Raw genomic sequence first — 21143 nt, forward strand, 5'->3', positions numbered from 1 at the left:
CAATATATTCAGAGGAGACCTTCAATTATCTACTCCTCATTCACCTTGAGATGGTGATTGCCCACATATGTGTGGTCTCTTAAAGCCAAATATTTGAGCCTGACAAATCATTGCTAAGGCTGGGAACCCTGGAGTTTAAGGTTTTACTCTCCTAAGAAACCACTCAACCATTCTCTTCATGCCCCCTACCCCAAAACTTTCTGTTGCTTTGCACATATAAACATTTCCTAAGGCCAGGAAGTTGAAGTAGCCATGATACTTTCTTACATGAGTGAGGAGAAATTGCAGCAAGAAGAAAGCATAAATCAGTATCACAATAAATTACATTTATGTGTTGGGGGAACTGGAATTTTGCAAAGGAGGAGAGAGACACATTAGGATGTGAGTAAAGGGGGACTTTCATTTTTTATTATATAGTTCTTCTGCTTGAAGTTTTATAACAGGCTTTATTACTTTATAATCCTTAAAGAGAAGTAAAATGTTTATTGATAGGATTTTTTTCTCAGCTGAAAACTGAATAGGCAGTGACCATCAGTAGTAAGGAAATTAAATATATTGTTTATAGGAAATTGGATAGTTCAATTGAAGTATAACAAAATGAACTGAGAACAAAATAGGAGGCAGACTGGTTATAATTGAGCATGTGTAGTACTTTGATATGTAAAATAAAATGTCCAGATTATTATTACCAAGAACATATTTAAACAATGTCTTCATTAGATGAAAAAAATTTCTTGACATATGACAAGAGCACAGAATTAGCAAAGCCATGTAATTACAAGTTACCAACTATTTCAGGAAAATGCCAAAAGCATGTAAACCAAGATTGTCCACCCTGCAGCCCACAGGCCACATGTGGGCCATGACAGCTTTGAATAAACACAGATTCATAAACTTTCTTAAAACATCGAGACTTTTTTTGCCTTTTTTTTTTTAGGTCATTAGCTATTGTTAGTGTTAGTGTATTTTTTGTGTGGCCCAAGACAATCTTCTTCCAGTGTGGCCCAGGGAAGCCAAAAAATTGGACACACTTGATGTAAACATTTCAAGAAAATTCAGACTATATGATCACTCAAGACAGCCGATTCACCAGCCTTCTGAAGGGAAGACTAAGCATATTCCTATATTGAAGGTAAGATACAGACCCATGCATGTGTTATCTTTTTCATATTTGTTCAATTCTGCCATTTAGCTGCAATGAAATCAGTTCAATTTGTTTCATGTAGCATTGAATTAAGACAACCATGAATAACAACGCAAGTACCAGAATGAGGCCAACCTGAAATACTAACCTCAACTGTGCCTCCCGGGGTCCTGGCCCCATCCAGCCAAACAAATCCCATGATTAAGGGTGTGCATTAGGAGGCCAGCTGTCCTCCTCCTTAAGTTTCTGTACTGACCTTCCTGCTTTGTCCAAAACATTAGTCCCAGCATTGTAGGATGTATGAGCAAGTACACGGATTCCACTTTGGCCTGCAAGGAGGAAGTGTCTAGGACAGTGTTGCCATTCACAGCATCCATAGCTAGTGAATTGAGGTGGACCTGAATGCTTCCAGGGCCAAGATGGTATCATTAATCATTTTAGCTAAAGACTGGCACAAACTTCATACCAACTTTTCTAATTATTCTCATAGTTATTCCCATTGTAGGGATCATGGGCCCTCAGACTGTGCTTAAATAACAAATCAGTTTTCTCTCCAGAAAGTTTTCCTGAATAACCAAGGTAAGCCTCATTTTGGAGAGATCCCTGCAGTCACCTGAAGTCTACAAGAGTGATTTGTGTTATTTCCTTAAATGCCAAAGTTTCTTACAAAAGGTGAAAGTCACCATGTTTTCTAGAGACAAGTTAACACTTGTTAGGCCACCTCAAACAGGACCAATATCAGTCACAGGAACAGGTGACCATGTCCTCAGTGTGGTCTTCTGGCCATCTGGTAAGCCTTTGAGTTCCCAGTTAGTTAAAACAATTGAGTGCAGTTCTTGGTTTATGCAGGGGATGCCCAGGGGCATTCCTGTGCTGTTTGCACCACCAGTTGGGTGGCATCTGTCCATACCACAGAATGAATAGTGACAACTATTATTCTATGAGAAATGGGGAAGATCCTGGGGGTATTGGTAGGTGGGTTCATGTTTGTGTGTGTGTGTGTGCATGTGTCTGTGTAAACTCACACAAACACACAAGCCCAGGTGTGGTACAGGAGCTGGGGCTCTTTTTTGCTATTTCCATAAACTTCTCAGTAAGGTAAAGGAGAATAGTGATAAACTAGTGAGTCCTCTGTTGAGGTATGGCAGGCCTAGCAGTCAAATTTAATTTCAACTTTAATTTAAATTTAAGGTGCTTGCAACAGTTTGGGAGAACAACATCATGTTTTCCTTTGCAAGGAAAGCTCCAGGGGTTGTTGTGGAAGATAGCAATGATTAAAGTTTTTCCCTTCTGTGTAGCTACTGGAGGGTTCTCAGGTCCTAGAATTGTTGCTTTCCCTATAATAATTTTGTGTCCCATTTCAGAAGCTATAACTTCATCTTTTTTCCAATCAGCCCTAATCCAGAGCTTTCTTCCAGAAGGACTAGATACAAAAGGGACTAGAGCATTTAAAAAACATACAAGAGACCCATTATGCCACCCTACTTTGGCCCACATGGACCGCTGTAGGGGTACTTGGCGAGTAATGTACTCAACCAATTAGCCATTATCTTTTTGATCTAAGATCTTGTCAGTGCAACAAGTAAATCCATATCTGTTAACCAGAATTAAGTTTAAATATCCTGCCTCTTTTTTACTAAGCAGCCTCTCAGAAGGCATATCAAGCAGGCCAGCCATCTACTAGTACCATCTACCATTAGGGAAAAGAAGGACTTTTCCCTAGGGCTACCCATTAGGTAAAAGAGCATCATCATGCCCAGTAATTGTCAGGTGGAATGCCAGATTTTCAAAGTAGCTCCCAGCACTTTCCTTCTGGCCGTTACCTGGAATATCATTGAAAGGAGATGATCTCTTTCTGGGAACACCTTCATTTACTGACCAAACTGCCTTACTAAGGCATGTGAACCAGAAGAAAGTGCGGAAGGTACAGCCAGACATGACATTTCTGGAGTCGATTTTTGAGGAGAACGCCCAACATTAAACAATTCTAGATCCTTGAGAATTATAGCGAGCATAAAAGATCCATCAAATCTGACTACTAGCCCATTGTTGAAGTGTTTTGCAATAAAAGGCACATTATTGTCAGATACCAAGTGGCCCATAAAGTCAAAAATACAACAGATTAGTTTCATGGGCCACAGTGTTGTGCCCGGAGTAAACTTACGAGACTGGAACACCAATACACAACCTGAAAAAGTGTTAATTGCAGTAAGGCAGCATTTACAACCCCTAGGAGACGTCACAGGGCAGATGTGATTAATGTGTCAGAAACATATGGTCAATGTCAATGACCCATGCTGTGTGGCTGCCCTCATTGCAAGACAACCAGGTCAACTTTTTGCAGGAATCAAAATTCTAGCATGCAGTTGTTGCCTACGCATCAAGAGTATTATTTGCCAGAGCTGTGAGAACAGCCTTCAGTTCTGACCACTAAGTGCAGTGATGACTGTGTCTATTTTCAGTTATGAATAGTTGGTCCTGCCTGAGACTGAGCAGTTGAAGCCACCCAGTGGACACCAGCAGATTTCAGCTTAGCCGAAGCATTGGTGAAGCAGGCCAAGTGATTATGGGGAACCTCTATGAATCAGGGGCTCCACTGAGCCAGCATCTTGCTATAGGTGGTGGAGAAGAAAAGCTGCATCTTTTCATGTAGCACCTAGATGTCACCAAAGCCAGGCTGGCTGTGTTCTTGATTTACCATTTCTATTTGACAAGTGAGCTTTTTTGGACCCTTTTCACTTTGTTAGTCATGGAGTCTGAGTTGATCTTGCCAAAACTGAAATATCAAGTCAAAGAGTTACAGTTCCCCTGGGGGTCGGGTGCTCAGTTTCAACAAGAACCCACCGAATAGTAAACTAATAGCTGCTTTTCAAAAGAGGCCTATCTGCTGGTAGCTGTTTCAAGGAGGCAAAGCCCAAAGTCTAAGGGGCACCTCCAAGTGGAGGCCACCTTCCTTTGCCAGAGGCTCCCGTTGGCAACATTAGAGTCACGGAGATGTGTAACTCAAAGGAATCATTGAAGATGTGGGACTGCAGAAGTATTAGCACCTCTCTACATCTGGCTGTTTCCAATCAGTAAAATCCCTTTTGGTACTTGCAAGCATTCACAGTATAGGCATGTAAAACATCAACACCACTTATACTTTCAGTAGTGGAAGCCAAAACAACAATATGTTAAAACAATAGAGGGCTCAACACTCACGTTATGGTGACTTCCCTTCCCCACTATGATCTCTGCCCCAACTCAAATTTGGACATATCCTCGCCCTATGGGACCCAGTAGGATGATAACTCACGTGCTAGAATCCAACAGAGCCACAAAAGTTGGAATCCTTTCCCTACCTGACATTCTTCAAAATATTCAATAGATGTATGGCTTTTAATCCCTCTTGGGAGCAGGGAGATGTTGTCCTATATCAAATCATCCTTCTCATGCCACTTAAGGCAGTGAGAGGAGGAGGGATGGATCAAAGGGCTCTCCATGAAGGAGAGTGACACTATGCAGTAAGCAAACCACATTTCAATTTTGAGTTAATGTGGCAGCTGCTTGCAAGAATTTATTTTGATTTTGAGGGGTCAGTTTCTCACACTTCAGGGCATCAACCTCTTCAGCTTTGTAAACTCAATCTAAAAAATAAGACCCTGAATACTAATCAAGGCCCATTTTTTGTTTCCCATGGGAAATTGTTTGTCTCAGGGAAATCTCCCTGAGAGGGCCAAAGCTTCTTGAAAGCAGGCATGCGTAGTTGTAAAGAAAACAAAACAAAGTTCTGAGGTGTTTCACTGCCATCTTCAAATGGATCAAAGTTCGGCATGATGGACTTTAGGAGAAGTCCCTCTGTTGCTGGTTTTTCCTTAGTAACCATCATGCACACCACCCCCCTCATCTTCCAGTTGTACCAGCCAGCTGTCTAGCAACTTGCTTGGTTTCTGCTTAAAAGGACTGTAAGTTTCCCTCCTTTTACACTCAATGCAAGTGTGTCGCTCTTTAACTGTCTTAGTCTGTTCCCATTGCTATAACAAAATACCATAGAATCATTAATTGATAAGGAAGTCCAAGAGCACAGTGCCAGCAGATTTGGTGTCTGGCGAAGGTTGTCTCTTCTTCAAGATGGTGTCTTTTTGCTAAATTCTCATATGGCAGAATGTTATATCCACACATTGTGGAATGGAGAAGGCAAAAGGCACTAGGGGGGTTCCTTCAACTTCTGTTATAAGAGCACTAATGTATTCTTGAGGGCAGAGCCATCATGACTTAATCACTTTCCAAAAGGCTTCACCTCTTAATACCATCACCTTGGGGTTTAAATTCCAACATGAGGATCTTGGAGGGACACATACATTCAAACCATAGCAGTAACTGTTGTCTGAAAGAGGGCAGAGACTTCTACACATCCAGAATGAATGTTAATACTAGATATAAAAGCATGGGCCCAAGGCTGAGGTGGACCAAGCTTTTCCCACCTGAAAGAGAAGTAGCAACAAATAGGACACCATTTGGGTAGTTGTTTGGATGTCTTCCCTCAGCCTACAGTCACCTGCCTCCCTAATTTCTCCTCATTAAGAGGAAATAAAGTGAAAAATAATTTATTGCCCAGTAAACCATACAATTTGATCAACATTTTCAACATTTGCCATTGACTTCCCTCGAATCCTGTTATAATCCTCCTGCAAAACCTTTATTCTTTGTTTTCTAGCCCTTGAGTACTTTAGAAAATAAGTGTGAAATTATATTCAAAATATTGAGTGGACTTTTCAAAAATGTAAAATATTACTTCAAAATATATTTTTGTGCTATCCTCTCATTATTATGTGCTTTTTCTTTGTGATATTATTAGGCCTTTAGTTTTCTATTTGGTTTTGAAAGTCATGTGATTTTTATAACAAGAATAGAATTAATGGTTCCATGATGAATAGTGGATGTTTTGTTCTGAAGAAATCATATTTTGGGCAAAATGCCCATAAGAGACTTATGTTTTTGCCAATAGTTTGGTTCAGAGCTTCTGGGATCTTTTATTTTTTTTCTTAAGAAGCAATGAGAAAGTTTGATGCTTTTCCATTTTATTTTAAATTTGTTTTAGGGGTAATTACAAAATAGCTTGTTACTTCAGTTTTTATTGTGATAAATTCATAATTGGTATTTTGTTTTGTTTTTTTCTTTTGCTGTTTCACTTTCTACTCTTAAAGGCATAGTATTACTTTAGTTAAAAATCACTCTGTTTCCATTTTTTGTCTCCCTTTCTTCCCTACCCTGATTTTTCCTGTTCAGTTATTGGCTTGTCCAATTGAAACTAGAGATATACTTGACATATTAGTTACTTAACATATTAATTTTGGCAACTTCTGCTATGTGTTCTTTTGCCAATGAAATTACTGAAATTGAAATATTGAGTGGGGGTGTCCATGAGAGACAGAAGTCTTTCCTTTGGGCATTAGGTATTAAGCCAGCTTCTCGATTATGTAACAAGAAAGAAAGAAGTGTTAAAAATGAAAGTTCACAACATGAACTAACTGGCAAGAGCAAATATATGACTCTTTTAAAATATTTTACTTCAACAGCAATAAATCTCTAGGTAAGTCTAACAACAGTATTTTTAAGTGGCAAGAGAAAAAATATCAATTTCAAATAGTAGCTAAAATGCATTTTTGAGGGGGACTTCTTAATTACCCTATGAAGTGTCGTGTGTTTTGGGTCAGCTGGTTAACATTGTCTTAGTTCTTCCATAGAATCAAAGAACTTTTATTACTGGAGGGGAATTCAGAGATTATCATTTTATACATATGGAAACAGAGATCCAAAGAACAGCGGTGACGTACTCATGGTTCTGATTATGCAGGACAAAAACATAATTCTCCTTATGGATGTTATTGTCACTGTGCCACACTGCCATAATGGTAGTGTTCAGAAAAAAATATGGCTGAAAATTCATATAACATTCAAATGTTGTAGATTCAGAACTATTTCCTTTGTAGACATTTTAATATTCATGCTGCTTTTAGCTCAGTTTTTACTGTTCTGCTAAAGGAATGCATTGGTCTCTCCCTCTGCCTCAGTGTGATAGCAGGCCCAATCTAATGTTTATAGTCATAGTGTAGAATTATGTATTTAGGAGTTTTTGGAGGTTATTAATCATTTCCTTCAGAGTTCTAATTTTCTAATTCCATAGCCTGCTTCAGTCCTTATCTTTTCCATATCTTTATAGGGTTTGATTAACCTCCGATTCTAGAAACTTGGACCTTGCAGTCTAGTTTTTCTTGTCTCTCTCAGCTATTTTCCTGTTTCTTTCAATGACCCACTCATTGTTAGCCCCTTAATGTGGAAGGTCCTTTTGACTCTATTGTTTCTTTTTATTCTCTCTCTGGCTGAGCTGCTATTTCTATGGCTTCAGACTGCTGGCTCCATGTCTATACCTCTGGCCCTAAGCACTCATCCTAGTTCCAGATTCATGTTTCTAACTTCCTGCTGGGCCTCCTCTCCTGGTTGCTCACCAGGCATAATATGTTCAAAACAATGCAAAATTCTTACATTTACCAAATGCGTGATTTGGGGGGAAAAATGCTAATCTCTTCAAGTATTTGTTTCCTTACCTGTAAAATGGGTTTCTGGTGAGATTTAATATAAAGAGCCCAGGACAGAAGTTGAGTTACTGTTTTTGTGGTTCATCCTGGAACCTGCTTCTCCTTTTGTGATCTTTAAAAAATGACTTTTTCTCCATATAATATCATTATGTCAGCATCTATTCATCCCCCCTCTCATCTTCTCACTTGTCAGTTAACAGATGCTTTTGATGTTCTATAAAAGCAACATCTTTCCATTGTGACATCTAAATCATCCTTGTTGACTCCCTCTTAGTTCTACCCTCCTCATAATCAGTTTGGATGGATCTCCCAGCCTCTGGTTTCTCCTCTCTTCCACCTATTTATTTCCCATGTGCCCTGAGAGTTATTGGTCTGTTCCACCACCTAATAAGCCCTGCTGGCTCCCCATGTTAGTCTGTCTTCAGAATAACATTCAAATTCTTTAGCTCAGCAGTAAATCCCTTCACAATCTGGTCCTTACCAGCTTCATCACAGCTTCACCTCCTGCCTCTCGTCTCCCATGTTACAGTGCATATGCACAGACAGATAGACACACACACATACACACACACCTGATGCTTCTACCATGCCAATATTTCCTGGACGTGCCAAACCTTTTCATGACTTTGTGTGTAGCATATTATTCCTTCTACCTGGAATGCTCTTTCCTTCTCCCTCAATTGACAAACTAAACGTTTTAGACACAAGTTTTGAGTGACGCAATGCCTTGCCCAAGTGTCTATGGTAGAAGTTGTCACTCATGTTCTCTGTTCTCCATGTTTCTGTATTCATCTTTTACATGTTGGTCCTGTACCCACTACATATTTTGAACTCAAGGCTAAGGGCTATCTATCCCTTTATCTTTTCTTTTTTCTCTTAGTGCCTAGTACAGTGATTGCCACACAATTGACATGCAATACTGAACAATGACATAACTATCATTTCTGGTTGGCTTTTTTAACTGCTAGTTTATTTGGATGTTCTTTTATATTTATTTCATAAGAATCCAGGGATCTGATCCTCTGTTTTTTGCCTTTGTTTTCCCTGAGGTTAGATTTAGTTTTTATAAAGGCAACATTTTGTTTTTGACTATAAAATGCTGCCAAATATACAGCATGCATTCTGCTCCCACTCTGTCCTTGGAAGACACTGATCATCGGTCAAAATATTCTTCCCTGAGAAGCCACGTAGGTTCTTAACCCTTCTCAACACAGCACATCAAATAGATAGCTGCTATCAGCTGAAAGTAACTGGTAGCTGATGTGAAATCTCTTTGGAATAACACATAGAAAAAAAAAAAAGGTGAATACTCAATGACTTCAAATTCTGATCCAGCTTTGTTGCTGACCAACAACTCTAACATGCATGCTGTGGTACTCTGATATCTTGTGTGCAATAGATATTCAACAGTTAACTGTTTATTAGTTAATATTTATTGCCAAACTATTTTGCCTCATTTTCTTTATTCAAAAATAGAAGAGTTAATTTTCAAGCAACTGTTGGTAGTTGTTGTAAAGATGAATATAATGAGGAATGTGAATTAACTAGGGGAAAAGTTTAAAATCATATATAAAGATAGTCTCATTAAGTTTAAGTATTATGTACTTCATTAAGTTACTTGCAAAACCAATTCAATATCTTATGATTGTGTTATAACAACCAGGCAAGTAGAAAGTACCAACGTATACTTTAAGATAATTTCAACTCTTCTGTCTTTGTACTGAATGAGTGATATGTGGAAAAAACTGCATCGTTTGTTTGAACTTGTTCACACCCCTATGCAGGGGCCTAATTCTGCCAAGATGACAGTGTATGTATGAATTAATTCAATGAACATTTATTGAACATTATTGTAAATGCTGAGAGATTTTGGTAAGCAACGCAGACGAAAATCTCTGCTCTGAGGAGTTTACATTCTAGTAGCACATCCATATTCCATTCGAGAAAAAAAGTCTAAATCAGAGGAGTTCAGAAGATTTTCAGAATTGTCTTTACTGACTTCCCACCACTCTGCTTCCTCTTTCAAAGACAGGAGTTGGATGTTGATTTGTGGTGTCTGTTTCGATATTGTGTTTTTCCTGGCTAATATTTCTTAGTTTATGAAATCAATTTGGGCTTCTTCCTACTTATAAGTATTAACACTTGCAAGGTTATTTTTGCATCTTTTTGTTCATTTTGATCAGTTATAGTGCTGAAAATTCTGTAGTCTTGCACTTTAAATGCCAGCTTTCCTTAAATTTAGTGTGTCCCATTTGGGGAAGGAGTTTGTAGTTTAAATGGAAACTTTTGCTGTACAACATGACTTTGGAAAACAGCCACAGGAGTGTTTTTAGATTGCATAGGACTTGGCAAAAAAAAATTGAAAAATGACATTTAAAAAATTTAATCTTAGGATTTTAACACCTTATAGAAGAAAAGAGGGAATGTTATTATATCACCCTTTCTCCATGATATGGTTTTCTTAACGGAGAACAGTATATGTTTAAATAATAACTTATTCCGTATTGTCTATTTTAAAAGGATATTCTATCAGCTTGGATGCTTTGCAACAGCATGTAATAGAAAATACTAACTCAAACTGACTTAAGCAATAAAGATATTGCTTCATACACACAGAAGTCCAGAGGTTGAGTAAGCCTAGAGCCCTCCACAGTGTAGCCAGGCTGTTCAGGACCCAAGTTCATCCCATCACTTGTCACCGCCATGCTAACAGGGCTGGTTTTGCTCTCAGACTGACTCCCTCTCTGGTAGAGAGACGGCTTCAGCGGTTCCAGGCATCACATTCAGATGTAACGTCATCAAGAGAACAAAGAGAAACCATCTCTTTTCCTGGCTGTTTCTTGAGAGTGAGAAAACTTCCCTAAAGGGTCCCGTAAGACCAACTCTCACATCTTATTGGCCAGATGTGGGTCACATGCCCATTTCTAAACCAATCACTGATGAGAGAAGTGGAATTATCATGCTTTGCTTAGCCAGAGTAGAGTTTATTACCTACAATTGGGGATAGAATCACCTTTTCATGCAGCACATGTCTTTATGGAGAGCAGATACCCGAATGTAATTAGATTCTGCTAAAAGAAAGAAAAAAAAAGTTGGAAAGTGAGAAAATCAATGCTGGGTAGGCAACTGGAATTCCTGCGGCAATCTCCAATATAGAAAACGTTCCCCTTAAATGTTGCTATGTCTTATCTCAAGTAAATATGATTTTTTTTCACGTGACATAATTTATTATTTTGTTTACTACGATTACGTGTATTTCCTCAAGCTTCCCATATAGAATATATGCCTGATGGCTCGTTGTATCACTGTGGTAAGTAGTTATCTGGAAATATATTTTTTCAAATACAATTATAAGCACTTTATTTATTTTATTTTGTATGTATTTATTTATTTTGAGACGGAGTTTTGCTCTTGTTGCCTAGGCTGGAGTGCAATGGCGCGATCTTGGCTCACCACAACCTCCGCCTCCCAGGTTCCAGAGATTCTCCTGCCTCAGCCTCCTGAGGAGCTGGGATTACAGGCATGCACCACCACACCTGGCTAATTTTGTATTTTTATTAGAGACAGGGTTTCTCCATGTTGGTCAGGCTGGTCTCGAACTCCCGACCTCAGGTGATCCGCCTGCCTAGGCCTCACAAAGTGCTAGGATTACAGACGTGAACCACTGCGTCTGGCCATAAGCAATTTATATGTATTGTAACTCTTTTAATCTTCACCACAACCCTTTGAAATAGATATTACTAGTATTCCCATTTTATATATGAGTAAACTGAAAGACAGAAAGGGTAAATAATTTGCCTAAAGTCACCTGCAAGTGAATGCGTTTTGAGCTATTGAGAGTAAGTAAAAGGAGAGGTATGTAAATATTTCTTCCGATATGGAAGTGTTGGGAAGGGAAGAGCGTGGTCCCTTTAAATGATACGGAAGCGGGGAAGGGTGTGGTCCCTGACTAGGGCTGAACTCCCATGGACATAGGTGAGGACAAGCATTTTGAGAGAGAGAGAGAGAGAGAGAGAGAGAGAGAGAGAGAGAGAGACACGCAGGCTACCGAACAGCAGAACCACGCAGAGCTTGGCTGGGGCAATTGGAGGAAGGACAGGGAGTGGCCTGATTCCCGGCGAAAAGCATCTCTCTTCTGGCTCCCCCATCTGCTGAGAGCTACTTCCACTCAATAAAACCTTGCACTAATTCTCCAAGCCCATGTATCATCCGATTCTTCCGGTAAACCAGGGCAAAATCCCGGGATACAGAAATCTCTCTGTCCTAGCGACAAGGTACAGGGTCCAATTGAGCTGGTTAACACAGGCCGCCTATAGATGGCAAAACTAAAAGAGCACACTGTAATACACGCCCACTAGGGCTTCAGCTGTAAGTATTCACCGCTAGACACTGCTGTGGGGTCGGAGCCCCATAGCCTGCCCGTCTGAATGCTCTCCTAGAGGTTTGAGCAGTGGGACACTAAAGAAACGAGCCACACCCTCATCGCATGCCCTGCGAGGGGGACAAGGGAACTTTTCCCCTTTCACTTGGATCCTTTCCCCTAAACTAATATTATCAAGGTCCTCTAATCATACAAACTGAAATGATTTGAAGAGGGCAAAATACCCTTTCAAAAGTTGGAAATATTTTCTGTCATTTAAATGGGTGAGACTTACATTTATCTGTAGGGCAATGTATTATTAAGGTTACCACACAAATGGCCTTTTAGTCACGTAAATAAAAATAAGAGATTTTTCTCTGAAATAGAAACTTTTGAAATAAGAAGTAACCTGAGTTACTTTCACTATTCAACAACTTAAAAACTGTATGGTAGGCTTATCTTTTTTTTGAAACAGAGTCTCACTCTGTCACCCAGGCTGGAGTGCAGTGGCACAATCTCAGCTCACTGCAACCTCCGCCTCCCGGGTTCAAGCAATTTTCCTGCCTCAGCCTCCCGAGCAGCTGGGACTACAGGCGCCTGCTACCACGCCCGGCTAATTTGTGTATTTTTAGTAGAGACGGGGTTTCACCATATTGGCCAGGCTGATCTCGAACTCCTGACCTTGTGATCCGCCTACCTCGGTCTCCCAAAGTTCTGGGATTACAGGCGTGAGCCACCGCACCCGGCCGTAGGTTTATCTTGCAATTTGATTGACTTAGCAAAGTCAATTCATTGGTCAAGACAAAATTAGTTTCTGTATCAAGAGAAAATTAGTTTCTGTGGTATTGTATTTTCCTGATTCATAATGTTTTCAATCTTGTCTAAAAGAAAGATACAAGAAAAATATGTATCAAGCTAATCTTATGGCATTAAAGTTTTAAAATGTAATTATAATTAAAGATTAGCAGACAACCTCCTATCCCCAAATATAACAATCTGCCTCCATCTGTGTCTCCTTTAACCCTATTCTATTAACTCAGTTGGTTCTTAATGCCTAAAGTGTTATCTAAATGCTCAGTGAATATTTAAATTCAAAATGTTTGTTCAACTTAAATACTCATGGATTGATGCAAAACAGCTTTTTAGAGTGCTGATTGGAAGTTGTTTTTACTAGCCACCGTTCTAGCCCAAGAGCTGAATTCTTAAGACAACCATGCCAGGGCAGTTCTCCATCCAACATTGTGCCAGACTCACAGAATCCCACTTGACCACCCACCCACGTGGGCATTGTTCTGATTCAGAAGTCATTTTTAGAGACTCTCTTAAAAAAATTACTTGTCAAAATGTAATTATATAAATCTTTGCAAATAGCTAATAAAAACCATTAACAATGACAGCTAACTCATAGGGCATTTCTAAAAAAATAGAATGTTACTTTTAAATTAGTCCTTCTTGCTGGTATATTGAAATGTTTAGAATTTTAAGTAAATCATCTTTAAGACCCCTTAACAATTCCATACAGATGGAGGGCCGTGTGGGTGAATACCTTGCATACATGGAGATGAGATCCAGATGACAAGAATGTAGAAAGGGTTGTTTGAAACATGTTAGAGGAGAACATTGGAAACATCAAACACTGTGATTGTAAGCAATGGAAATAACTGTCCTAAACTGTAAAACAATGCAAGAACATGAAGATGTCAAAGCCCATGGTATGTTCATTTAGTCATTCTCCGGACTAAAAATATTTGTATTTTCTATCAACAAGAGTTTACCTTGATATATAAATATATTCATGCAAATGTGCATATTAATAAGCACACATGTATGTATATAATATACATATATTGTGTATATATATGTATATGTGGGTGTGTATTTCCATGTATTGAGGTTTTTCAGAGAACGAATGTCACTAGTAAACGGTAGAAAATGTATGTTATTAAACCTTTATTTACTAATTTTCTTAACAACAACACTAAAGCTAGAAAATAAAAAGGATCATTCATTTTTAAACAGATGGCAAAAACACTCCCTGGGGAAGTCCAACCAGACTGATGTTTTGTCTGCATCAATTTCCCTGTAGACCGTCTGCCATGCTTTGACAAGCTCGGCATGCCTCCCTTACATGTTGAACATCAATATCTATAGACAACTCTATATATGTTCTCATGAGGGTAAAGGCTATGTCAAATAACTACCAATATGTATATGTAATTATTTTCTATGTGGCATATACTAGCTGTCATATTTTCACTTAATAATAAATGCTTTCAGAAATAGGGACCATTTTGTATTTTTTCTATGTTCTCCATGACACATGTCTTGAGACTATTGTCCCTTCCTATACAATTGAAATTATATATGTTTCTGCCACAGTCATTTTCATACAACTGGCCTTTGGATTTCAGGAGACATGTTTTCTCTTCAAATTCTACATTTTATTATCTTAGCTTTCATACTGTGTTTGTTTTGGAAAGGGTATTTTTTACTACCTGTGTTCACCTGAAGTCTGTGAGTTTTTAAGGGAGATATTTATCACATAGATTTGAGACCCCCAAACAACTTAGCTCTTCTATAACTCAACAGTAATGCCCGAGCTCAGATAGACTCAGTGCAGTTCATTTAAAAATATAAATACATACATACACACAAACATATATGCATACTTTTTAAAAAAAATAGTGTAATATGAAGTTGGGCCCTTACCCTATACTGTATACAAAAATTAGCTCGGAATGGATCAATGAGGGCTAAACTATAAAATTCTTAGAAAAAAACATAAGAAGAAAGTTTCATGATAATGGATTTGGCAATGATTTCTTGGGTATGACAGCAAAAGCATAAGCAGCAAAAGTAAAAATAGATGGATTAGACTACATCAAAATTACAAACTTCTGTATGTCAAAGGATACTATCAACAAGTGAAATGCACCTATGAAATGGGAGAAAATATTTGCCAATCATTTATCTGATAAGAGATTACAATCTGGAATACATAAAGATCTCCTACAACTCAACTGCAAGAAAACAAATAACCCAGTTAAACAATTGGCAAAGGATTTGAATAGACATTTATCCAAAGAAGATATATAAATGACCAGCAAGCATATGAAAAGATATTCAACATGCCTACTCATTAGGGAAATGTAAATCAAAACCTCAATATATCACTGCCCGTCTGATAGGATGGCTACTATTTAAAAAAAAAAAAAAGGAAAATAACAAGTGTTTGTGATGATGTGGAGAAATTGAAACCCTTGTGAACTGTTGTGATGATGTAAAATAATGCTGCCACCATGGAAAACAATATTCCAGTTCCTCAAACAATTAAAAATAGAATTACCTTATGATCCAGTGATTCTTCTTCTTGGTATTCAAAAACGTTAAAAGCAGGGTACACCTATATTCACAGCAGCATTATTCACAATAGCCAGAAGGTGAAGCAACCCAAATGTCCATCAATAGATGAATGGATAAACACAATGTGGCACATATACAGTGTAATATTATTCAGCCTTTAAAATGAAATAACTTCTGACATGCTACGACATGGATGAACCTTGAAGACATTATGCTAAGTGAAACAAGACAGTCACAAAAGGACAACCACTTATTTGAGGTATCTAGAATAGTTCAACTCATAAAAGAGAAAATAGGATCGTAGTTGCCTGGGGATAAAGGAGGGAGTGATAGGGAATTGTAAAACAGGTATAGTTTCAGTTTTGCAGTATGAAAAGCTCTGGAGATTGTTTGCACAATAGTATTAATATACTTAACATACTAAACTATACACTTAAAAATGGTTAAGATGGTAAATTTTGGCCAAGCATGCTGGCTCACGCCTGTAATCCCAGAACTTTAGGAGGCTAAGGCAAGTGAGTCGTTTGAACCCAGGAGTTCAAGATCAACTTGGGCAACATAGGGAGAACTTGTCTTTACAAAAAAATTTAAAAAATAACTGGGCATGGTGGTGCAAGCCTGTAGTCCCAGCTAGTTTGGGAGGCTGGGGCAGGAGGATGGCTTGAGACCACGAGGTCGAGGCTGCAGTGAGCTTGTGATCTGCACCACTGCACCCCAGTCTCAGTGACAGAGAGAGACCCTGTCTCAAAAAAAAAAAGATGATAAATTTTATGTTATGTGCATTTTAGCACTTTAAATAAAAAAGGCCTAACAAAATGCAGTCAGATATCAATAATAATAAAGAAATGCTTTCCAAGGTAGTATAATCTCTGCCTCTAAGTATGACCATACATAGGGAAAAGAAGCTGTGATAGGGATTCTGAAAAAAGAGATGTAATGTGTATGGGTGATGGGGCAGAGGAGGAGAAGTAAAGAAAACATCAGAAAGACTGTAGCATCTTAGGTCATTTACATTAGGGTTTGAACCTTACTAAGTATTGCTATTTTGGGCCAAGTTCATTAAACATCCTGGTCCCTGACTTCTCCATGTTAAGTGATGATGGTATAAACCTTATAAGATCATTTGAGAATGAATTTATGTATGTGTGTTTGTTAGGTATCCAATACACAGCCTGGAACAAAGAATATACTAATAAATCATTATTACCATAATTATTGCTTATTTTCAAATAAAAATATTTTTGCTTCAAATCAAAATCATTTTCAGCTTTGCAAAACAAAGTAGTAATATACTAAAAATTATACTTAATGAATGTAACTCTTATTCATAAGCTATTGAATCAAATTATTATAGAGCCTAAAACCAAATAAACCTCTCTATTAGATAACTTCCTTAAGTAATAGTTTATTTCCCAAACCAAATAAACAATACTCACAGAATACTAAGTATAAAGGATTCCCATACTTATTTATGCACAAAAGATAATGTAATGTTAGTTAGAAATGTTAAAATTTATATTTAGAGAAAATATTGAAAGTTATATAAAATAATAATGAAAATCTGCAGGTCAAACTAGAAGAAAACTATTGCTTCTATATTAATAATTGCCCATCACTCCAAAAACTTATTTTTCTATCTAGTGCTGTAAAACACCTCGAGACATTCATGCCATTCCTATAGAATTTTAAGTTTTGAAATATCTTTTATATAGGTCATTTATATAACATAACGTGATTGCTGACCTGGTATTTTTATCACTTAGGAACATTTATTCATGTTCACTCAATCGAGTGCACATTGAGCAGTCCCTAAGACAAGTTATAATCGCAAACAATGGATAATGTATATGCAGCCTCTAATTTGGAGGCAAACTGAGAATTTCATCTTTTAAAAATTTTTTAAGTTTATTCATTTCTTTATCCCTGTATTTGATGAAATAAGAATATGACAACAATCTGAGCCACTTAAAATTATTACTAAAGTATTAATTTTTCACACTGGCTTACTATGTATATCTTGCATAACATAATACAAGATCTGTCATTTGTTTACATTATAATTCACTTTGACCAAGATATCCTGAAGAAAATTGTAGATTGATTTAATTAAAATATTATTGGGGCTTGACTGCAGAACACATGCTTTGAGATGGCTGACAAGACACTTTGCAGAAGCTTGAGATAACCATACTATTAAATCACATACTAACCAATGTATTTGTTCATGGCTGCATAGGTGAGCAAAAATGTAAACATCTGAAACATAAAGGTGACATTCTTAAAACGGAAAACTTTTTGCACTGAGAACATAACTTTCTAAAGTTAATAACAAGGGATCCTTGATTACTACCAGACCCCTCTGAAAGGGAAAGTGAGGCTGTCAAGCTAAGCATTTTTTACAGGACATAATTTAATTACCTATGGATCAATGTGGAAGAATAGGCTGGGATCTGACTTGACATCAATGCACTTTTAATATTTCAGATAATGTATTTTACATTCAGTTTTGGAATATGTGCCATGACCAAACATGTTTTTGCAGAGTAGAACAGAAATCAAGACTGCCATTTCTACTACATGCGTACGCACATATAGGGTGTATTCAAAAACAGAATTGCCTACTTCCTACATGGTTTTCTAAGGCATTCATTATCTATGTGAGCCCCTAAATTCAAGTATAGTCTTGGCATGAGGAAGATTTTTCGATGCCAATATGGAGATTAAGTACACTATACTTGCTTTATACATGAATTTCCAGCATTTAATAAAGTTCCTGTCTACCTTCAGTGCATTTTTGTAAGGAGCCCAGAGAGTAAGTTGACCTTGTGAAGTTCCATTATCCAGGAGAGGACCAAAGACATGGTTCTGAGGTCGGGCATTTGTTTGGTGTTTCAACAATATTGTTTTCATTATAGTGAGCTTAAATAAGCATTAGCAGCCTTTCTATCAAAGAAATTAGTCCTTATGTGAAGGACCTATAAATAAAATTGTTATACAGTGGAATAATAGGAGCATGTAATGAAACTTGATTTCTAGCCAAACAAACATATGGACATTAAAAATAAAAAAAGGAAAATGTTCACTACATGGGTCCCATGTGGGATGATTGAAGCCATCCACTAACATCTGGATTCTATACATTTAGGAGCACTAGATTCTTTCAGGCAGGAGACTGCTCTTACTATCTAGGAGTGTTGGATGTGAGAAGATGTGGTTTCTTGCGGAAGAGGAGAGGCTAAGTTTTCAACAGTTATCACACTTTGGTTTAACACATTTTAATGGATAGTGTAATATTAAGTGTCATGACATAAGCAGTGTTAGTAATTACAGCCTTAGCTATTATCTCAAAGCAAGTAATGATACCTCCATTTTGTATAAAGAGTGACTTTACAAATATCTGCATGGTTTTAGTTGTCTGTATCAGACCTCTTGTTAATTTCATATATTCGTTTTTACTTTCAGGCATTAAGTCATTCAAAACCTTTATGGAATCCCTAACTGTCAATAAGACATTCTCTTAAGAAATAAAACTATATCACTTTATCTACCAAAACAGTCCATTCATTCCTAAAATCCTAGAAACAATATTTTCATATACCTCTGAGTTTTCCTAGTCTTCTGTGACAGTGTAAAGTATCAAAATAGTGAACTATAGTTGGATAGTCTACTTGAACTTTTTATGAATTTTAAAAACAGTGAAATACCAGTTGCCTGTAAGAGAAATCACCTTAAAAAAATTTTAACTTCTGGGGTACATGTGCAGGATGTGCAGGTTTGTTACATAGGTAAACGTGTGCCATGGTGGTTTGCTGTACCTATCAACCCAACACCTCGGTATTAAGCCCAACATGGATTAACTATTTTTCTTGATGCTCTCCCTCCCCCACACCCCTTGACAGGCCCCAGTGTGTGTTGTTCCCCTCCCTGTGTCCATGTGTAAGAGAAAGCACTTCAGTTGTTGTTTTTTTTGTTATTGTTGTAGCACCTAAAATTGTATTGGTCCATAAAAATGCTAAATAAAAAATAATTCTGTTAACTAAAATTTCCCACTGAGTATTTTGACAAGAAGAAATTAATGGTTAAGACAACATAAAAAGTCAGCTCAGCACAAATGAATATGCACACTCATTGGAAATTTCCTACTACACATTTGAGGCTGAGAATATTTTAGTGAGCTATTGTGCTAAATAAGTCGTCAGCAGAATAAAATACATGGATTACTATATGTTTCAAATTTCACTGTTTAAATATTTTATACTTTATTTTCAGTGCAACGGAAATGTATCCCTTTCTTTTTCAAGTAACATCGATGTGGATTATATATTAACCAAGCCATGACTCTTAACAAAGACTCAGACTCTGTGTGTGGGAGAAAAAAGCCTGGGGAAAAGTTTTCAACAGTTACCAAAGATTTTGTCAACACATTTTATTGGATAATGTGATACAAAGTTTCATCAGATAGGTGGTATTAGTAATTACAACATATGACACCATCTCAGAGCAGTAATGGTGACTCCGTTTTGTATAGAGTTATATTTGTTATCTTGTTGCTCGGTCTACTTTGATAAAGAACTTTCTACTTTTCTTCTTTTCTCCTTTTGTCTAGTTTTTGTCTGTTTGTTGTTGTTGTTTTGTTTTGTTTTTTTCAAATTTCAACTTAGACTTCTCTTCCTCCAGGAAGCTTTCTGGGAACACCAAGACTGAGATAGGCTCCCCTGGGTTTTATCATAGCACCTTATGCTTCCTGTTTTATGGCACCTACATTATAATTCTTTATTAATATTCTCTTCACCTGTCCCACAGTCACCTCAGCAATTTATGCTCCATTAGGGCAGGACTGTCTCACTGGTAACTTTATCCCCAGCATCTAGCACAATCCCTGGCCTAGACAAGTTGCCTAATACATGCTTATTGAATGACTGAAGCCATGAATGAAGGAAAAATAAATGAATGGGACATCTATGCACCTGGCTTTTAGACTTTGCAATTATTGCATGGCTTTTAGCAAATCACTGAATATGTCTCAGCCTTAGTTTCCTCAAGTTCCAACTGAGCAGTGCAAGCAAGATGATTTCTGAAAGCTTGGTGGATCTAAACTTTTTTTTTTTTTTTTTTTTTGACAGAGTCTCGCTCTGTCGCCTAGGCTGGATCGCCCCGGCTGGAGTGCAGTGGCGCAATCTCGGCTCTCTGCAACCTCCACCTCCCGGGTTCACGCCATTCTCCTGCCTCAGCCTCCCGAGTAGCTGGGACTACAGGCACCCGCCACCGCGCCCGGCTAATTTTTTTTTTTTTTTTTTTTTTTTTTTTAGTAGAGACGGGGTTTCACTGTGTTAGCCAGAATGGTCTCTATCTCCTGACCTCGTGATCTGCTCGTCTCGGCCTCCCAAAGTGCTGGGATTACAGGCGTGAGCCACTGCGCCCGGCCTAAACTTTTAATGTTTCTGTGATGACCCCTTTGGAATAATCCTTTCTTCAGAGTACTATTTTATTTGCCTGAGATATGTTTTCTAGAACTTCATACACCATGTTGAGGAAAACTTGCTTCTATAAGCAAATTGATAGCTAATAATCCAGATATAAAGCCTTTGTTTAGCTTCTGGGGCCAGGTCTGGAACCACTGCAGACTTTGTACATACTCTCTGCTCTACAATGTTGAGATCATCAGAGAAAATCAAATAGAAAATAATAAAATAAAATA

At 37.7% G+C, this 21143-nt stretch overlaps 1 protein-coding gene across 22 annotated transcripts in view; it reads left to right on the top strand.

Moving 5' to 3' along the window:
- LYPLAL1 (lysophospholipase like 1) overlaps positions 1-21143 on the top strand; it is a 271619-nt gene that overhangs the window by 43703 nt on the left and 206773 nt on the right. For 16 of the 22 annotated variants that reach the window (XR_007078557.1, XR_007078562.1, XR_001736967.3 and 13 more), the window contains one exon: positions 938-1132. The gene's annotated coding sequence lies outside the window, so the exon portion shown is untranslated. Of the gene's footprint in view, positions 1-937; positions 11919-13604; positions 19488-21143 lie in introns of those variants that run through there. The other 6 variants (XR_001736965.3, XR_007078566.1, XR_007078569.1 and 3 more) reach the window with 2 other exon arrangements.

Source organism: Homo sapiens, chromosome 1 (genome assembly GCF_000001405.40).
Source record: "Homo sapiens chromosome 1, GRCh38.p14 Primary Assembly".
In the NCBI taxonomy this organism is placed as follows: Eukaryota; Metazoa; Chordata; class Mammalia; order Primates; family Hominidae; genus Homo; species Homo sapiens.